Source organism: Homo sapiens, chromosome 7, assembly GCF_000001405.40.
Source record: "Homo sapiens chromosome 7, GRCh38.p14 Primary Assembly".
Lineage (NCBI taxonomy): Eukaryota > Metazoa > Chordata > Mammalia > Primates > Hominidae > Homo > Homo sapiens.
The window spans coordinates 132,570,450-132,589,442 of NC_000007.14; the positions used below are offsets into that span (position 1 = coordinate 132,570,450).

The 18,993-nt window shown below is 49.0% G+C and overlaps 1 protein-coding gene across 11 annotated transcripts in view, besides 3 other annotated features; it reads right to left on the bottom strand.

Annotated features, from left to right (window-relative positions):
* Positions 1 to 18,993, bottom strand: part of PLXNA4 (plexin A4) — a 525,349-nt gene that overhangs the window by 447,110 nt on the left and 59,246 nt on the right. For 10 of the 11 annotated variants that reach the window (XR_927546.3, NM_001393897.1, XM_017012779.1 and 7 more), the window contains exon 1: positions 5,973 to 6,021. The exons of the other annotated variant lie outside the window; for it this stretch is intronic. The gene's annotated coding sequence lies outside the window, so the exon portion shown is untranslated. Of the gene's footprint in view, positions 1 to 5,972; positions 6,022 to 18,993 lie in introns of those variants that run through there. 11 annotated transcript variants of the gene reach the window in all.
* Positions 4,505 to 5,482: an enhancer, noted in NCBI's record as "H3K27ac-H3K4me1 hESC enhancer chr7:132259713-132260690 (GRCh37/hg19 assembly coordinates)". NCBI's record gives its function as "activates a minimal SCP1, AML or CMV promoter by ChIP-STARR-seq in naive H9 embryonic stem cells {active_cell/tissue: H9 hESC(naive)}" and the evidence as "EXISTENCE:reporter gene assay evidence [ECO:0000049][PMID:30033119]".
* Positions 5,483 to 6,460: an enhancer, noted in NCBI's record as "H3K27ac-H3K4me1 hESC enhancer chr7:132260691-132261668 (GRCh37/hg19 assembly coordinates)". NCBI's record gives its function as "activates a minimal SCP1, AML or CMV promoter by ChIP-STARR-seq in naive H9 embryonic stem cells {active_cell/tissue: H9 hESC(naive)}" and the evidence as "EXISTENCE:reporter gene assay evidence [ECO:0000049][PMID:30033119]".
* Positions 10,354 to 10,523: a silencer, noted in NCBI's record as "silent region_18668". NCBI's record gives its function as "represses an Ori minimal core promoter by ATAC-STARR-seq in GM12878 lymphoblastoid cells {active_cell/tissue: GM12878}" and the evidence as "EXISTENCE:reporter gene assay evidence [ECO:0000049][PMID:35858748]".

Genomic DNA, 18,993 nt, shown 5'->3' on the forward strand with positions numbered 1-18,993 from the left:
CCAAGGAATGATTGGTTCACCTTCTAGTTTGAGCCTCCACACTACCAAAAGGGAAATCCAGCTGTGCTCATTCGAGAAGAGTTCAGTGAGTATGTCAGATAAGGAACTGATCTTGAGCGAAGACCAGGAAAGCCTTTCAACTGCCATGGTTTTCCTGTCCTAAATTTCCAGCGACCTCTTCCTCCACTGCTTCTCTCCTCATACTTCATAATGAAAATACTCTACCCTGTAAGACCTCGGGAATTGATTCAGCGAGGCTGTGTTCAGCGCATTGACTGCGGAGACTATCCTCTTAGCTAGTGATCTGTTTTGTGTTGGAGTGACAAAACATCCCAAAATCCAATTTGCTGTTGCGAATCCTGGTTCATGGAGGAAACACCATAGAGGGGGAGGGGAAGATCCAAGCTTAGAAGGAAAAGAGAGGATGCCTGAGATCTCTCCAACACCTGTTGGTTTCAGTTTGCACAGGACTTTACCTCCCAATGTTTTATCCACTCATTCCTACTGCTGCCTCAGAGGGGAGGTGATGAAATTCCACGTGCACCCCTTCTAGCCACCTCAAGTTGGACAGAACTTTTACTCACCTCACAGTGTAGAGAAGTCAAAGAAATAATGCATGGAATAAAAGTTTGTCTTTTGGAGAAAAAGAAAAAAAAAAAGGCAAGTAACCAAAGTGCCTCACTTGTGGCTTTTTCCTAAAATGTTCAGACCAGAGGGACTGAGGTTAGCCCTGGCTTTGGAGTGGGACAGAACCCAACCAGGCCCATGGGCTCCTTCAGGGATTCACACCCACACCTTTTTGCATCAGGATGTAATTCCTAATGCCTTGCCTTAGCCTGCACCATCTCAGGTCTGAATTATTTTCTTCATGCAAATGGGGACCTATCAAAATTCCTCTAAGTGCTACAGGATGGCTATCCCCTGACATGGTCCGTTGGCACCAACATGCGATGAGTCTCTGCTGCAACCACCATAGGATCCAGGCACCCAGCACCGCATGATGTCCCTAGGCACTGATTTCTTCCCTGCTTCTGGATCCTGAAGTCAGAAACTCTAGGAGTAATAAATGAATGAATGAACAAGTGTCAAGTACCTACCGTGAGTGGTGTAATGGTAAGAATCTTTGCCCAAGAGTGAAAAAACCATCCATCCCTTAGCAACCTGGCGCCTTGGACATCTCACCTAAACTCTCTTCTCAGCCTTAGCTTCTATGCTATCAAAATGGGAATAAACAATACCTACCTTGCACAGCTATTTTAAAGATGAAATGAGGAAGTGTTGTTTCCACAATACTAGCAATTTGAAGCAGTCACCAGGGAGAATTAGACTCCTATCAGAATTGGAGCCTCATAGAGTCTAAAGTAAAGATGGGAACTTCACTCATTCATTCATTTACTCATTTTTTCCTGGGAGAAAATGGGAATTGCCAAATGAGGTGACAGTCACCCTCAGGACCTGAGCATTCTGCTAGAATGATCCATGCAATTTTATAACCTACCAACAGCCAAGGAGAAGACTCATCCCCCTTGATGAATGGGGAAATCGAGGCTCAGTGAATAAATACATTTGCCTGGCATCACAGAGGTAGTGCAAGAGACTAGGGACCAGATATTCTAAACTTCCTCCCAAGCACTCACCCATAAACCTCCCAAGGGGGCAGCAGTACAGTGAGCACATATATTCTAAGGAGGAAACCAGCACAGTGATGAGGAGAAAGGTCAGATTGCTCACAAGTGAGACTTGGCTCCATCACTAAGTGGCTGTGTGATCTGGGACAAAGTCTTTAACCTCCTGCATCTCAGTTTCCTCCTGGAGGAAATAGGGACCGTAATAGCCTATCTGGGTTGTTATGAGGCAAACTACTTAAATGGTATCTAAACCAAATGAGTGCTCAATAAATATTGGCCACCATCATCATTAATTATCATCTTCCATTCCATTGTTTTTACAAGAACTGAAGCCAGTACTAACATCCTCACAGCCTCTTCCTTTGGGAGGCTGATGCCACAGGACCGGACAAGTGTGTGGGGGCATACACAGACTCACATAGGGACTCAGGAAACTCTTCTTCCAGGCTGCTCCATGCCATGCAGGGAAGCAGCCTCCTCCTTCAGGAACAAGGCCTGGGCTCTTGTTCCAGGGGAATCAGGACCCCTGCCTGCCTTTCGTTTTAAAATCCATCTCTTACCACTCAGCAGCAGAGCCCCCTTCAGTCTCCCTGTGGGCTCCACCTTCCTACCGCAACTTGAATGGTACAGCCTGGGCAGTGAGGACAACATGAAAGAAGAAAGAAAAAGTCTGTGCAGCTAGAGGGGATCAGGTGGGAGTCTGGGGAGGGAGCAGTGGAGCTTGCAGCTTTTAAAGAGACAGTGTCCTGTCCACAGGGCCCTGTGTGGACCAAGCATAGCTCGATAGAGCCTATAGGCCAATTACCCTAATCATGTGCATCTCCCAAACAGCCATTTATTAGTGAGACGTCTTTTTAAAATGCCGCTTTTAAATATAAATAACACTTAATCATCCAGCTGTCGTTAAATTCATGTTATATTGATTTCTTGGAGTGCCGCAAATTTGAGGGCGAATGGGCTGGCGGATGTGCGCACAAAGCCAAGAGGTAGATTAGCAAGTGGTGGGGGCAGAGAAGTGGGGGTTGGAGGAAAAGGAAGGGAGGTGTCAAGGGAGGGAAATGAACCTACTCAATAGCCCAGGGTCTGAGCCAGTTTCACATTGGGTAGCACTGGACACAAATAAGAAGAGAGGAGACGCTGGCACATCTGTTGCATAGTCTAATGAGAGCCAAGATCATGGTCGTGTTTTCTGTATTGCTGCCGCCCCCTTGTAACCCACCACAGAGCCGCTCCAACAGGTCTCTGATGTGCATTGTCTGCGTATGCCTTCTCTAGGTGAGGATGGGGAGAAGCAGCTAAGAAATGCCCCCTAGCTGGCTAGGAGGAGAGAGATCCACAGCGATTTCTCTGCATCAAAGCCTGATGATAACTATGAATCAAGAGTGGTTAATGACCCAGCCCCTTTAGCTCTCTCCCACTTCGGGACTGCTGCCATCCTAGAAAGCCCCCACTTCATTCCCAGCAGCCCTCATTGTGATGAAAAGGATCCCGAGGCCAAGTGTATGTAGGCAGACTCTGCCGTGCAGATTTCCCTGTCTGCAGGGAGTAGCAGCAGCAGGCGACAGGAAGGCACAGAGAAGGAGAAAGGAAACAAGTTGACTGCCTTGGAGTCCTCCAGAAATGTCTGCAGTGTCCCAGTGGGCATCCAGGAGGAAGTCCTGGGAGGACAGATGAGAGCCCGGGGAGGCGTGATTGGGTAAGAAGGAGCAGCTTGTAGGTGACCCATGCCTAGTGCTCACAGGAGAGCTGCCTTAAGCACCGTCTACCAGGCAGCGAGGGTCTGCTGAAAAGAAGCATTCATGGCTGGGGTTTTTCTAGTGTGACTCCCTTCCCAGTGAGAAAGACCTCAGAGAACTTAAAAGGAAGGGCACAGAAGAGTGGCAGAGAGGGTGAATGACAGCGTGGCATGCTCCAGGGCTGGGCAAGAGAGCCAGGAAAACGTAATGTATACTCCGCTTTACAGAGATGTTAATTAATGCCTGCCTTGTCCTAGAAACCAAATTGGTACCTAATGCTAAGTGCAGAAAGTGCAGAGATTTTCTGAACCCAGATGTTTAGCTTATAACCAGCATAATGATACTAGCTTTGCATTAAAATGATGGATCCTGAGGCTGCGAATACATGAGAAAGGAAAGAGGGTAGGGAGGAAAGCAGAGAAAGGAGTGGAGGTCTACAGGGAAGACACAGACATTTCAGGAAGATCCTGTACCCTATCCCTTTGCCTCTTCCAGGTCCCATGAGGGACTGTTTACCTGGGAGGCACCCACTGTTGCTGGAGCTCATTATTTCTTTTGCAAACCATGTGCTGCTGTACGCGTAGGTGGGATCTGCCTGTCCACGCCCTCAAGGGGCATGTGGGGAGAAATGTTCCATTTCTTCCACAGCCCGGAAGACAGAGGTGGACCCCATTGTCACACATGGCGGGGGCGGGGAGCTGACCACATTTAGCCAGACTCTGAGAACGCATGTGTGTATATATATTGGGTGTGTGTGTGCACACGCCCACCATTCTTAAAAAGCAAATAAGGTTTCTTCCCCCTACTGGGGTCTCTCCATTGTGAGAGATTTGCTTTATTCCATCTATGCTTTTCAATCAATCAAAGGGCAGCTCACACAGCACACAGCGGGAATACAATCTCCCTCCCGGGGTGTCTGCGCTTCTCCCCAGCCTAGCCAGAGACCTTTGCAGGAGCTGAAAAAAGTTTGGAAATAGCGGAGTCAGGGTGCTGAAAAAGCCCTTTCATTCAGCCCCTATCTTCAGGATTTACAAAAACAACCCAAATTCTGAGCCTAGCACTGAGGCCTCCTTGTTCAAAAGAATGTTTGCTCCTCTTCCATCATGTTCTGTAAGGCTCCTAACATATTTTTTCCACTGGTGGGTCTGTGGGATACTCTGAACACATGATCTTGGACAGAGGGTACAAGCTTATTCAGTTTTGTGGGAAAATGATATGATCATGTTGCCTAGAAAGCTACCTCAAAGTGACAGCACCAGAAACACAGGAGCTTGTACATATATATTCAATTCCGAATTTGATTTGGATCTCATGTTCTTCTCCCTATGACAACTGAGACCCTAAATTAGTTGCTCTTAGACCCCAAGAAGGGAACTATGGAAAAGCCTCTTAGAACCCCAGCCACTTCCTACCTCCTCCAGAAAAAGTTAAAATGAGCAGCCTGTGAAATTCCAGCCAGAGAGAACAAGAATGAAAATGCTTTCGGGAAATAGGACCTTAAAGCACGGGCGTCTGGGGAGTGATTCTACAATCGGAGCAGGCTTGGGCTCTGGGGGACGCTGGCAGACCCACGAATGCCTTGCCTTCTCCGGTGGGCAGTGCCGCCACGGTCGTGAGGGAGGGGAGCCTCCTCTTTTGGAGGACTATATCCCTCGTGCTTCCCCCTTCTAGTTCTCTTTCTCAGACACACACCACGAAAGGCATGTGACAGGTGTTCGCCAGCCGGAGGCACCGGGGAAGGCAGCCCCATGTGCCCAGGGAGGGTAGGGAGGTGAGAGGGGACCCAAGTCCTGTGTCTCCAAGTCCTGTCTGCTTGCTGCTAAGCAGGCACTGAGGCTGTGAATAAGGTCTTACCTTTTAAGGAGGATCTGACCCCCGTACCTTCCCTAGACAAGCAACATACGCGGCGATGCTTTAAGCCGCTTTCTGCCTGAAATCTCGGCGCATTCCCGGGGAAGCAGTGCCACGCTTCAGAAAGGCGTTTGTGCTGCCTCTTACTGGGGAAACGCAGTGTCTGTTTCATATGCGCCGCCCTACAGAACTGCAGCCCCAACCGCCTATCTGGCCTCCTCCCCGGGCGCTGGGCCACCACTCTCTCCAAATATGCGTCCGAATATCTGTGGGTCTGTCTCCCGTTGAAATCCCAGGGTGTCCAAAGGCCACGGGGCCGCGATGACACTGGGTAGGTCTCCGGAAACCTCTCAGGACTTCTCCCATTTTAAAGCCCAGCTAGGGACGAAAGGGGCTGGGAGCTGAAAAATTGCTCCCTCAACCTCCCCGGGTGGGAGGCAGAGCCGGGAATACACAGAATCCCACCCCGAAAGTCCCGGGAAAGAGAAGTCTGAGTCCAGGAGCGTGAGAGGAGAACACACCCGGGAAATCCCTGCTCCGGCCGCTGCACCTCCGCGGGCGTCCAGGTGGGACGTGGGCAGGTGCGCGAGCGCCGTGTGTGCCGGTGTGGATCTGTGTGTGTGCCTGCGTGTGTGCGTGTGCGTGTGCCGCGGGCTGGCTCCGGGACACTGAGGACTCCCGGGTCGGCCCAGGTCTGTCCGACCTTGCTGCCCTCGCCGCCCGCCCGGCCCCACTCCCCGGCGGGCCGGCTCCTTACCTGGACGCGCCGCGTTTCCCTCCTTCAGCGGGAGCGCCGCATTGACACTGCAGATGGAGCCTATGCCGCTGCCTCTCGCCCTCCTCTGAACGTGTGCGTGTGCGCGCGTGTGGCTGCCTCCTCCAGCCCCAGCCCCGAACGCAAATACTCCACCGAGGCACAGGGAAGCCGGGAGCAGCCGAGGAACGCGGAGGGCGCCGAATCAGAGCCTGCGGGGCTTGACAGCTTCTCTTGCGGCGTCCAAGGTGGGCGTAATGTCCAACAAAAAGGTCGGAAAATGGGGATCGATTCCGAACACCCCTTTCCTCCACCCAGCCCCGGAGCCCGAGCAGCGGCGGCGGCTCTCGGGGGCTGCGGTGGCGACGCCGGGCTGCCCCCCTTCGTCCCCACCCCCGCGGGCTGAATGTCCTTGATGCCAAGCGGGCACAGCGGCGTCACTCCGCGCCGCCCATGCTCGCCCGGTCGGGCCGCTGCCCGGGCGCGGCGAGTGCGCGGGGGACCCGCCGGGGAGCGCTCTCGGCGCCTCTGCGCGCCTCTCTGGGTAGCGGCGGCCGCCCCCCGGCAGCCCGCGGCCGGCCGCGCCGCGGCAGCCCCCACCCTTGCCGAGACACTCGCCGGGCAGTGCCCTGGGGCCGGGGCTGGGGGGCCGCGGGAGCCGCCGGCTGCTCCCCGGGGAGGCGCGGGGCTGCGGCGGTGGTGGCTGCGGCGGCTGGCGCTGCGGCGGCGGAGAGCTCGGCCGCGGGCCGAGCCGGGCCTCCCGGGCGCGCCCCCGGCCCCCCGGGCGGGCTGCTCGCAAAGTTTGCAGGGGGCAGGGAGCGGGGCCGCCGCTGGCTCGGCCGCCGCCGGAGCTCCCGGGCTGCCTGCTGCCGCCGCGGCTCGCTGCTGCTGTGCATTGAAGCCCGGCCAAGCGCTGCAAAAACTCCAGCTGCCTGGCGCTCTCTGGGTCCTCCTCTCCTCCCTCCCGCCCTCCCTGCTTCCCTTCCTCCCTCCCTCGCCTCGCCTCCTCTCCTCCCTGCCGCCCGCCGCCCGCCGCCGCTCCCTCTCTGGCTCGCTCTCGCTGGCTCGGAGCTCGCGGCTGACATCTAGAGCGAGGGAGAGCGGCCGGCAGAGGGGGCAGGGGGCGCCTCCCTACATGCTCCCACCCGCCGCCGCCCGGCTTGCCGGCTCTCCTCCGCACCAACGTTTGCCGACACCCCCCTGGGTCCCCTCGGCCCGCACGGAGCTACCCTGGCGGTGGCGATGTGGGGCGGAGAGAGGGGCATACATGGGTGACCGGAGCGCACGGCGCGCGCTCAGAGGGAGGCGCTCAGCCGCCTCGGAATTTGCAGCTCTGGGCGCTGGCCGTCGGAGGGACCCTCAGGTGCTCAGAGCTGACACAAGCGCACACTGACTCTGAGGCATACACCCATTGCTAGTCAGAACCCCTCCCAACACCCCACCAAGTCACCCCCACATGGCACCCAAGGAGGCCGAGGACACTGAGGGCACAAGGCCCGCACGAGAGAACATGAGTGGCCAGTGCCCCAGAGCTGGCTTGGTAACCTGACTTTTCCATTCATGTTTATACTGAGCGGCTCTCCTGGCTCCTCTCTTCTCTGAAACCCTAGATCCTAGACTACATCCAGAACAGACCATGCCAACATCAGGGTGGTTTCTGAAGCCCAAAGAAAGAAATCACCATGTAGCTCTGGTTTAGGCAGTGAAGATGGGGAGTGGGTGGCACTACCTCCCAAACCTCTGCCTAGATCCCCCTAGGAATGGGCCCACCCACCAAGAGAAACCGAAGGGATTCCCACACCTGTTAACTCAACTCTGTGCATGCCACCCTCATCCTCATACCCGCTCCCACCATAGTCTGAGGGAAGTGGCACCTTCAGCAGAGTCCAGTAAGCATTCCCTGGGATAGGCAACCAGCAAGGACGACCCTCTAAAGGAGCCCATGGCTCTTGGCCTCCTCTCTCCTGTCCCTTCTTTAGTTTTCACTGTCCTCACACCCAGAAACTCCCGCCCATTACTGTCCCTCCCATCGAAACATCTCAGAGCCTCCTTATTAGGTGGACATGACTGATAATGGCTTAAATGCCTATACCTCCCTATAGGGGTTATATTCTCACAGAAATCGAAGTTGTGTGAATTGGGGAGCCTTTGAAAGGAGCTGTGAGATGACAGCTTAAACAAGCCCCAAGGTGAGCGGCACATATAGGTCAGGCTTGGCCCACCCAGAGAGGACCCTGCTGAAACTTTGCTCTCACCAATGAGAAGATGAACCAAGCCAGAATGAGGAGGAAACCACATGTTTGATTCTTTGGTTAAAGGATATTCCAGGAGACAGCGTGGAGCCCTTTTAGTCTCTGGTTCTCTGCTGAGTCTTGCATGGCCCAGAAAGCAGCAAGGAGTTATCTTATTAAGCTTACATGAATACATTGATCTGACTCCACTCTTCCCAGAAACCCTGAATCCCAGACTCTAGATAAAGCACACAATATCAGGTTAGTTTCAGAAGTCCAGAGACACACATAACAAAATCACTCAATGCTACTGCCTCTTGAACATCCTTCCAGGGTGGAGGAAGCCCAGGGCCAAATGCCTCTCTCTGCAAGACTGGGATTAGCACAAGGCCAGCCGGGCACTGAGGATACAAAATCCAAGGAGGCCCTGTCACCCCAAGGTCCATGTAAGGTTTGCATCACCTGATCCTGACACTGCTTCTAGGTGTCCCTTTTAAAATTGCTGCATGGGTCCATCACGGCCCATTTCCAGAAGTGACAGCCCGGATAGCCCCATGAAAGTCCCTAATGGGTTACTTAAGGAATATCGTTCAATTAAAGGCGCGGGGGAGACTCCTTTCAAACTTCTGTTGGCCACTCAGCTTTCAGGGTATGTCATAAAATGCTGAAAGGAAGGGGGGAAGGTGAGAAAACAACTCTGTCTCAATTCTCAGTCATTCTAGCATGTATTTTTAATACAATCTGATTGTCTTTTTCCTCCTCATATCGGTTGTATTTGTGTGTGTGTGCGTGTGTGTGTGTGTGTGCGTGTGTGTGTGAATATGGCTTGAGTTCCAGGCCCATTTCCTGATGGATGGACGGGAAGTCAAAGACCTTTTTTTTTTTTTTTTTCCAGAGGTGGCAAATAAAATGTGTTTATTATTCTTTATCTCCTGCCTAGTGTGTGGTGTCATTTATTTTCATTCAAAGAAATGAATGCCATGTGGTGCCTGAAGAGTAATAACAGAGCCAAATGACAGGGAAGACACACAGCAAAAAGCTGGACCAGCCACGGGCAGGTGAGGGGCCCAGCGAGCTCTCCCGTTGTTAATGGGGCCAGGGGCCATATCTCAAATTGCCTTTCCCCGGTTGCCTTCCACTGAATAACACGGTAAAAGGCATACCAAAGGGGGCAGTTATCATATTATCGGAAGGAGGAGTAGAAAGGGTCAAATTAGCTGCAGTAGAGGATTTTTTTTTTTCAGTGATGACCCATTGGATTGACTCCCTTAAGTTAGGAGAATGGAATGGGGTGGGATGAGTAGGGCCTCTACATTGGAAGTTAGAAAACACATGTCCTACTCCTGGCTCTGTCATTGGCCAGCTTTACAATTTGGAGCGGGTCACGTCCTCTCAATGATACCTCATCTCTCACCTGACACATTCGCCCCTTAGAGTTGCAATGACATTCAAAGGACATACCATCTTATTAATGTGCTTTGAAACTCTAAGGTAGGTACAAAACACATGTAGGGAATTAGAGTCGCTTTCCAGATGAATGTATCTTTTTATTTTTTTCAAATAGAATGATACAATGAGGGTAGGCCTTCTGCTATCTTGTCCCCACCCCAAGAATAAATACACAGGCAAAAGCAGCATCTTACCACAGTTCAAAATGTGTTTCTGCATTAGGTACAAGATCTTCTGGCTCTCACACCTCCTCTACCCCCTCTCCCTTGGTGAGGGCTAAGGGAGACACAAGTAGGACCATCTAGGTGTCCCCTACTGACAATGGCTCTGTGAGTCACTCCCTCTACCTCTTGCCTGGTCGTGAAACTGGTTATGTCATTGTCTGGACCCATGGCCACAAGAGGGAGAAGCTAAATGGCACATTGCTTCAGAGAGTCCTGTTTTCTAAAGAAGCTATGTCTGTGGGACTTGGGTTGGGGTTTATTGCTGGGTTTAGACAGAAAAAGTATTGGTTCATCTCCCACAGCTGAATAAAAGGACCAGTTTAATAGGAAAGAGGAGAAGAAACTCTTAAGTTTCCCCTCACTTAGCTACCACCATTTTATTAGCCTAGGAACAGTGCTGCTATTTAAGTTGATAAAAGCCAGATTTGCTCGTTAAATAAATCACCAGAGCCTGGTGGTGCTAGAGAGACATTTTCTTTCCCCCAAGAGCTGCCCCCATGGCTGGGTCTTGTACCTTGCACTGGATAGAAAAACCACAGGCAGGCAGTCAGCAGCTTAAAAACCTAAATTGTGGCGCCACCTGCAGGACAGCAGGAATATCATCAGTATCCCACAGCTCAGCAGAGGAGGCAAGAGGAGCCTTCCGCAGTGACACAGGTGAGGCCAGGGTGCCCTCTGGCCCCTGCTTTCTGCATGTGTCACCACATGTCCACAGCACACTCCAGCAGCCTTTAATCTGCATCCTCCTTGAATGCTGCCATTTCGAGGGATGGGCAGCAGCTCTCAAGATTCTCAGTCCATTCAAACTAACTTATTCTTCCATCTGTCTCCTAAGGGACTAAGTGGACCTCTAAGCCAAGGGTTCTGTCTTCAAGACTGGACCATGGAACAGTAAAACAGAAAGGAGAAGTGACTGCCTTTCAAGGAAGATGAGGGGAGGAACATCCTTGTGTCACCACAGGGCCTACTAGTAAGTTGAACTTGGTGGCTGGGTATTCTCAGTAGACCCAACTGTTCCAGGCTTCCCTAGCATGTGGGTGCAAATCAGCACAGAGATATTAACATCCGAATTTCAACTCCCAGCCTTTTCTGCTCAGATAAAACTTTGGCCACCACTGAAAAACCCCTCCCTGTCTCCTCCCATTATGTCAGAGACCGCCACTGGTGGGTGTGCTTAGGAACAAGTCTGACCATTTCATTCACCACAAGTACCCTCTTGGAAATCCACTGCCCATGAGCCATTTGATGGAAGGACATCTCTGCATTGCCAGCTCTGTGGTTGCCCTCTGCAAGGGCACCTCCACCCGGCTGCACTGCTGGACATGGCAAGCTCTGCTGCCGTGCCATGGCTTTCCAAGCCACACCGGGGGGTTGGTGTTTAGGTGGGGAGGACACCCCTCTCCTCCTACACACACACACACACACTGTGGATCTTGATCCTCTGGGCACCAAAATAACTCCCATGCCTCCCATGGTCCAAGTCTTACTCCCCTTCCTCCCCAGACCCTTTCATCCACTGCCCCCTCTCCAGAATGCTTCCTTCTCTTTCAACTAACAAAAACAACAAACAAACAAACAAACAAAACTTGTCTTTTTAACCGCAGAAACCAGAAGTTAGAGGATATTGTGAGGTAAGGGGAGATGGAGGGAGGGAGGGGGTGTGACTTAACTCCATTGGCCAGAAAGAAGAGAGTCCCAGATCTGGCCAGAGCCATGTCTTGCTACAACAAGAAAGGAGAAATACCTCAGTGTAACCCTTCTTGGGGTTAAGTCCTGGGAGGCACAAGGTCCCGTAGTATGCCTGCATTACAAGGACTGGATACAATTCACGTCTCCCACATGGCACCTCTCTCTTGGCACTGCCTAGTACACTGGCTAAGTAGTTTAAATGAGTCACTTGGCCCCTCTGACTGGGGTGCACATAACAGAAAAGGCCTCAAGTTGTTTTCCTTGTGATGAAGATGGATTCGTGCTGATGGGTTGAATGCTCTTGCCTGGTAACACATTTACAAGATGGTTGCCAGGTGGTCTGAGTGTAAGCTGTTCTAAGTGACTGTGGTTGCCAGCCTCCAAAATGGCCCCAGTGACTCTCAACCAGAGGTATTCATGCCCTCATACAGTCTGCTCCCATGCTGAATCAGAGCTGACTTAAGTGACCATGAAGTGACAGTGTCCAAGGCTAGGTCAAAAAAAGACATTTTAGCTCCCAGCTTGGTCTCTTTAGTCCCTTGGACCTGCCATGTGTTGAGAAACTGAGCTACCCACCAACAACCAGTGCCAGCTTGCCAGCCCCATGAGTGAGCCACCCTAGGAGCCCATCCTCCAGCCCCAGTTAAGCCTTCAGATGATTTCAGCCTTCAGAAGTTTCCAACTGAGGTCCCAGACATCATGGAGCAGAGATAAGATATGGTTTTATGCCAGAGATTTGTTATGCAGTAGCAGATAATAAACACAGTGATTTGCAGGGAAGATATCATTCCTCTGACCTTGACCTCATTAACCTCTTAAGCTTATTATTTGAGCCCACTTGGCTGTAGAATAAGAAGGACAAAGTGGGGCATGCTTGATGCATGATAGTCTCATACTGGGCAGGACTGGGCACCAATAGATGTCCTGCCAGTCACTCCCTTCAGAGCTCCGGGGTTAAACCTCTTAGTACATCTCAGTGTGTTACACAGAAATGAGAAAACCCAATGAAGAGGCTTGAAAGCATCCACAAACAGAATACTGAAATCCAGCACTCACTTAAGATGGGCCATCGTCAGTTCAGTTCCAGAGTATTGGCCATCAGAGACATTCAAGAGAGAGGCAGAAAGTTGTGCCGAGTCCTGTTCACTTTCACGAGCTGTCTGGCACCTGCCTCTGCCAGAGAGCCTTTTGGAGGTGAGGTTGAATGGGGCTCCAGGGTGAGTCCTTGCACCCACCAAGCACCAGGCCCAGTGGTGCTGAAAGTGTTCCCTACATCTGATCCTAACCCGTGCTACACCACAGGGCAGGAGGGAGGCCCAAGGATGCTTCCTATAGATGGCAGGTAGAGTAAAAAGAGACTAGAAGCGAGATGTGATTGAAAGCTGATCGTCCACTTTCCCTCCACACCATTCTCCTTGAGGACTTCTCGCATCACCTTCTCTCCTGTGCCCTCAGCAGCTTCCAGAGAGCTCAGTGGAGCCTGCAAGCTATCAGCAGGGCCAAGGCATATACAAGGATTAGGACGAGAGAAGAAGGGAAGAAAGAGGCAAAGAAGAAGAATGAAGGGACAGGAGTGCCTATGCAAAGCAGAGAAAGAGCCGCAGACAGTTGCCTTAGGGATTCTGAGGACAGTGCTTAGGCCCAAGGTGACCTCTCTCCACTTTAGTGTCTGCCTCCAGGACTCTGTGGCCTGGCTCCATTCTCCTTCTGGCCCTATTTTCCTGGCCAGGCCCTATATTCTTCCTCTGTTTTTAAAGGGCTTTCTCCTAACGCACGCCTGCTGACTGTAACCTTCACAAATGTGAGATGTCCCTTGTGGAGTCCAGAGAGAGCAGGGACCCTCGAAGCCTGAAGTCCACAGAGGTGTGTGGTAGCACATGAGGGTTGGGGAGGGCCAATCGTGCCATATCTTCCCAACTCTGCAACCAGCGATGCCAGGCCAGCTGCTGGAAATCAGCCACTGTGGATGTATTTGCACTATGGGAATAGGCACATGCTACAAATTGGGACTTTTGATTTTGTGGAGAGCTGGTTGTTAAACACCTGCCAGCACACTTCTGGCAGGGTCATTGATGGGCCTGGATAAGACAGGTCAGCCCAGGCCTGCCCAGTTCTCAAATGATTCTGCATGGGAACCCATCAGATACATGAACTGCATCAGCCCAGTTCAGGGTCAGAGTAGGAGTTTCTTTCTGTCCATACCCCACCTTTTAATTAAAAGAAAATATTAATATGGACTCTTTCTATTAACTGTTCTTTCCAAGTCCTGTAGGTAAGGAGCCTTTACTCGTGGTTTTTGACACTAAAATCAAATTGTTATTCTTTCCTGCTAGGTAAACTGAGCCAAGAGATGCTGACGTGACCCATGGGTGTGTAGGAAGCTTGAAGTGTACATCTGGTAACACCTGTCATTTACTCCCTCCACCTCAAACTTAAGATTAGTGCACTGGGTTTGGCAGAAATTCTATTTTCATTTCCTCAAAGCACTGCACTAAAATTACCATACATCCATACCACAGAACATGGTGCAGATGTAAAACAAAATGAAAACAAAATGAAGTAAATCTATGTATGCTGCTCTGAAAAACAACAGCAAAATGCAGAACAGTGTATTCGTGTATATCTTTGCATATTTTGAATATACAAAATAGGCTTGTACATACATAGGACATTTTGGAAGGATACACAAAAAACTTAACAGCAGAAACCTGAGTGAGAAACAGAGCGATATGTATTTTCTTAATTTATTGTATATTCTTTTTTCTTTTTGACGTTTTACCACGTGCAAGTACTACGTTCTCCATTTTTCAAAAAGCTAGTTGAAAATGAACAAAAAAAACTGCTGCTAAAAACATCTTTGTCACACCGCCAGTCCTCTGCTCACTCTCTCTTCTCAAATCCAGCCAACCACTCCTCCACCCCATCTGTATCATATTCGAGCTTGCCTTTGTTCTAGTTTCCTACTAGATGCACCCTGTTGCTCCTCTTTTGTGGGCTGCCGTGAAGGTCACGCAGCAGCCTGTCTGCCTAGGCAGACAGCTCGGTGGATCTGGTAAACGTCCCAGAGAATGAGACTTCATCTCTCATTTCCTAAAGACCAGCCAGTATCCTACTTGGCCAGAGAACTTCTGTTTGGCACTAGATTGATTATAGGGATATTCCAGGGATGCTCCAGCACCTCCTTTCTATGCTAAAGCAAGCAGCTTTAGATCAAGTCAAAGGAAATATCCTTCTACATTGGAGTCAGTAAACTCATGGAAACTAACACTCAGACATGGTACAGGCCAAAAATAGGATGATGCCAGGAAACATTTAGATAGCAACAGGTGAAAGCTCCATAGTGTTATTAATGTTATCAGGAACTGTGTAGGGAGAGACAAAGAAAAGCCAGAGACAGGCAAATGGCATTCCAGTTTTGCAAAAGGGGAAAATAATGTGAGTTCTGAAAAACACAAACAAATGAGCCTGGCCCCCAAAGTGACCATTGGATCACTAAAAGATAGATGTGGTAATTATTTAGAAAAGGATGTGATTGATCACTAGGAGTAAGTCTGGAATCACTGTCTTAATCATTTGGGGCTGCTGTTATGAAATGCCACTCTCTGGGTGGCTTTAACAACAAATATCTATTTCTTATGGTTCTGGAGGTTGGAAGTCTGAGATGAGGGTGCCAGCATGGTCAGGTACTTGGTGATGGCTCCTTTCCTGTTTATGTCCTCAGATGGCTCTTCCTTGGTTCATTCAATCAGACAGAGATCTCAAGTGACTCTTCCTCTTTTTTATAAGGACTCGATCCATCATGGGTGGGGGCTCTACCCTCATGACCTCATCTAAACCTAATTACCTCCCAAAGGCCCCAACTTGGGGGGTTAGTGCTTCAACATACGAATTGAGAGTGGGATGACACATTTAGTCCATAGCAATCACGAAGAACAAACTTGGTTAGGCTGGTGTTGCTCTCTAACTCAACAAGGCTGTGAGGCTTTTATATCAAGGAAACGTAAGAGAGAATATCTGAACTGCATCAAGGCATTTAATAGACTCTTTAATAAAATCCTTGTAGAACACCAGGCAATGTAGGCTGGTGAATTAATTGACTCAATGGTTAAACCCCAAAGATGTTCATTAATGCATCAAAGACAACATGAAGGACGGTTTTCTTAGGGTATATGTCAGAGCTCTGTTCTCAGACTAATCCTATTCAACACATTTACTAATGACTTGGATAAAGATAGAGGAGACATGGTCATCAGATTTGTCTATGATTGCAATAAAAGAAACATATTAAATGTAAGTATTTGCAATCCTGCTCCATCCTAAAGAAAAAGAAACTTTTGCTGAATGTTGGGCATTTTGGGTGTTGACGGGCATTTTGGTGTTGTCTTGAGGTATCATTCTAAGGAATAAAAAAGGTGAGAGAGCTTAACAGATCTGCATTTGAAAATATATGGCACTCAGGCCGGGCATGGTGGCTCACGCCTATGATCCCAGAACTGTGGGAGGCCGAGGCAGGCAGATTTCTTGAGCTCAGGAGTTCAAGACCAGCCTGGGCAACATGATGAAGCCCCTTCTGTACTAAAAATACAAAACAATTAGCCGGGCATCGTGGTGGGCACCTGTAGTCCCAGCTACTCAAGAGGCTGAGGCAGGAGAATCACTTGAACCTGGGAGGCGGAGGTTGCAGTGAGCCGAGATGGTGCCACTGCACTCCAACCTGGGTGATAGAGTGAGACTCCATCTCTAACAAACAAATAAAAAAAATTAATTAGCTGGGTGTGGTGGCATGTGCCTGTAGTCCTAGCTACTCAGGAGGCTGAGGTGGGAGGATTGTTTGAGCCCAGGCAGGAGGTCAAGGCTGCAGTGAGCCATGATTGCACCACAGCACTCCATCCTGGGTGACAGAGTGAGACCTTGTCTCAAACCAAAAACAAAGTATGAGCTGAAGTTGACAATAAGCTCAATATGAATCAATAGTGAAATACTGCCAAAGTCAATGGGATCGTAAGCTGTATTAAAAGAGAATGGAGTCCCAAAGGAAGCAGTCCCGCTCAACTTTGAGATAGGCAGACTATACGTGCATTATTGTGTAGAGCTCAAGGCCCCACACTTTCAGCACTTTATGATAAGTTTGAGCACATTCAGGAGAGAGTGGCCGAGCCCAGAAGGGAATTAATTGGAAACAATCAAAGTAACTGGTGATGTTCAGCTTTGAGAAGTAAGGCTCAAGGGAACATAACAGCTTCAAATATTTGAAGGGCTGTCAAAGAGAAGAGCTGCTGCATTCCTTCTGTGTAACTTCAAGATGTGAAAGTAGGATCAGAGAATGGAACTTATCTTATTTAGACATATTTTGGCTTGATGTGAGGAATGTCTTTCTAATAGAGTTCTCTAAAGAAAAAATAAATTGTCTTGAGTGGTAGTGAGTTCTCCATCACTTCGTGTGGTCAGGCAGAAACCAGGGGACACTCAAGTGAAGACTAGAGTTTGGATTGAATGACTCTGATGTCTCTAGAGGTTTGAGACGTTTGTTGTTCTGTATTTATCATTGTATGCCCTATGGTGCCATAAGCTTTGCATTGACTCAGTAGATATTTATTAGGTGGAACCGGAATGCTTTGGGGGTAATTCCTAGGGAAGAGAACCAATATCCCACCCAAGACCATTACTAAGGAGGGAAGTCAAGGATGAAGCCAGAAACATAAGGCCAAGGGTGGGACGAAGGGAAGAGGCAGGTACAGAACTCAATTAAACCCTGCCTCTCCCCACTCTGCACTGTACACCTCATTCATCAGATGCACCATCTTCTGCTTGGTGCTGGTCCATATGAATTCATCCTCCATGTTCCATTTGTCTACTAGATATTCATATAATCCAGGGCTCTGAATTTTTATTTATTTTTCTCTTTGGTTTTCAAATCTTCTTCCCATTCCACACTCCCCAGAGTTCCTGGTCTTTCTTCATTCTATGTCCAGACTCCTTTTGTCTCCCTTTTCTCTAGGTGGTCTCTCCCTTTCCTTGGGGGACCCTTTCCATTTCTCTCTTCCTACTCCCTTAACCCTCTGAAGGCTTCAACAGTTAATAAGGTCCTGAAAGCTAGAACAGGGATCTTAATGTCCCACAGAGGCCTCAGGCGATGAACTCAGTGTCAGGTAGTGTCATCTCATCCTATGGACTGTGAACCTGGAGGCTGGACAGGTTTTTGTCCTATGCCTAACTACACTGTGGACATTCTGCAAACTAAAAATAATTACTGCTTTTTCCTCCTCTAGTTTGTCTTAAATGACCTGAACAATGGCATTCTTATCTCTCCCTTGGGAGAAATTATTCTGTCATCAATGCACCTGTCTGTGAAAGAATGTGTGCTGACTTCTTCTGCAGGAGTTCCAAATTTTGTCTAAATGTCTCTTTGCCATTCCCAATTATGCTTCCTCCTGTACTGCAATCAGTATTATCAACACTGGCATCACTTTCTTCGCCAGAAAATAAAACTAAAGCACCCATATTTTCCTCCCTGGTGGCTTTATCAATATCTTTCAGGCATGATCATAATTTCCCTCCCTAATTCTTCATGCATATTCAGACATAAAAACTACAGGAAGAGAGAACACACCTTGAGGAAGGAAGGAAGGGAAGGGAAGGGAAGGGAAGGGAAGGGAAGGGAAGGGAAGGGAGGAGGGAGGGAGGGAGGGAGGGGAGAGGAAGAAAAAAGGAAAAGAAAAAAAGAAAAAGAAAGAAAGAGAGAAAGAGAGAAAAAGAAAGAAAGAGAAAGAGAGAAAAAGAAAGAAGAAAGAAAGAAAGAAAAAGAAAGAAAGAGGAAGGAGGGAAGGAAGGAAGGAAACAAGAAAGGAGGGAGAAAGGGAAGAAAAGGGGGAAAGAGGTAGGGAAGGGAGAGAGAAAGAAATAGAGAGAGGAGTGATGATGACAATAATAAAGGTATCTTCAAAAAACCAAAAGAGATAGTACAGATTTTCATGGGACTATAAAGATTTTTTATTTTAGAAAACTTCATTGTAATTGTAGAGCAAAATATGCCAACAGGATATTTTATGTAACTCATATCATGTTTAGAATCATCCATTGAAAAAAACATTTATGGAATGCCTACCATATGTCACTATGCTGCAGATCAAAGTTGTTTCAGCCATAGTCACTACCCTTAGGGGGTTTCAGGTGAGTAGGGGACAAAACGGTAAACAAATAGCTGTAGTAGTCTGTTGTTAATGCCAAGATATAAGTATTCTCCCAGTAGTGTGGGATTGTGAGGGAGAGAGTGTCGATTTAGAATGCAATTCTTCTTGATTCTGATCATAACACTATATTAAATTATAACTATATATTTTTATTAATATTGTCTCTGCTGTTATGTTTCAAAAATAAGACTCAGTAAGAAATAATGTTTATATATGTTCTTCTAAGTTAAGATTTTAAATT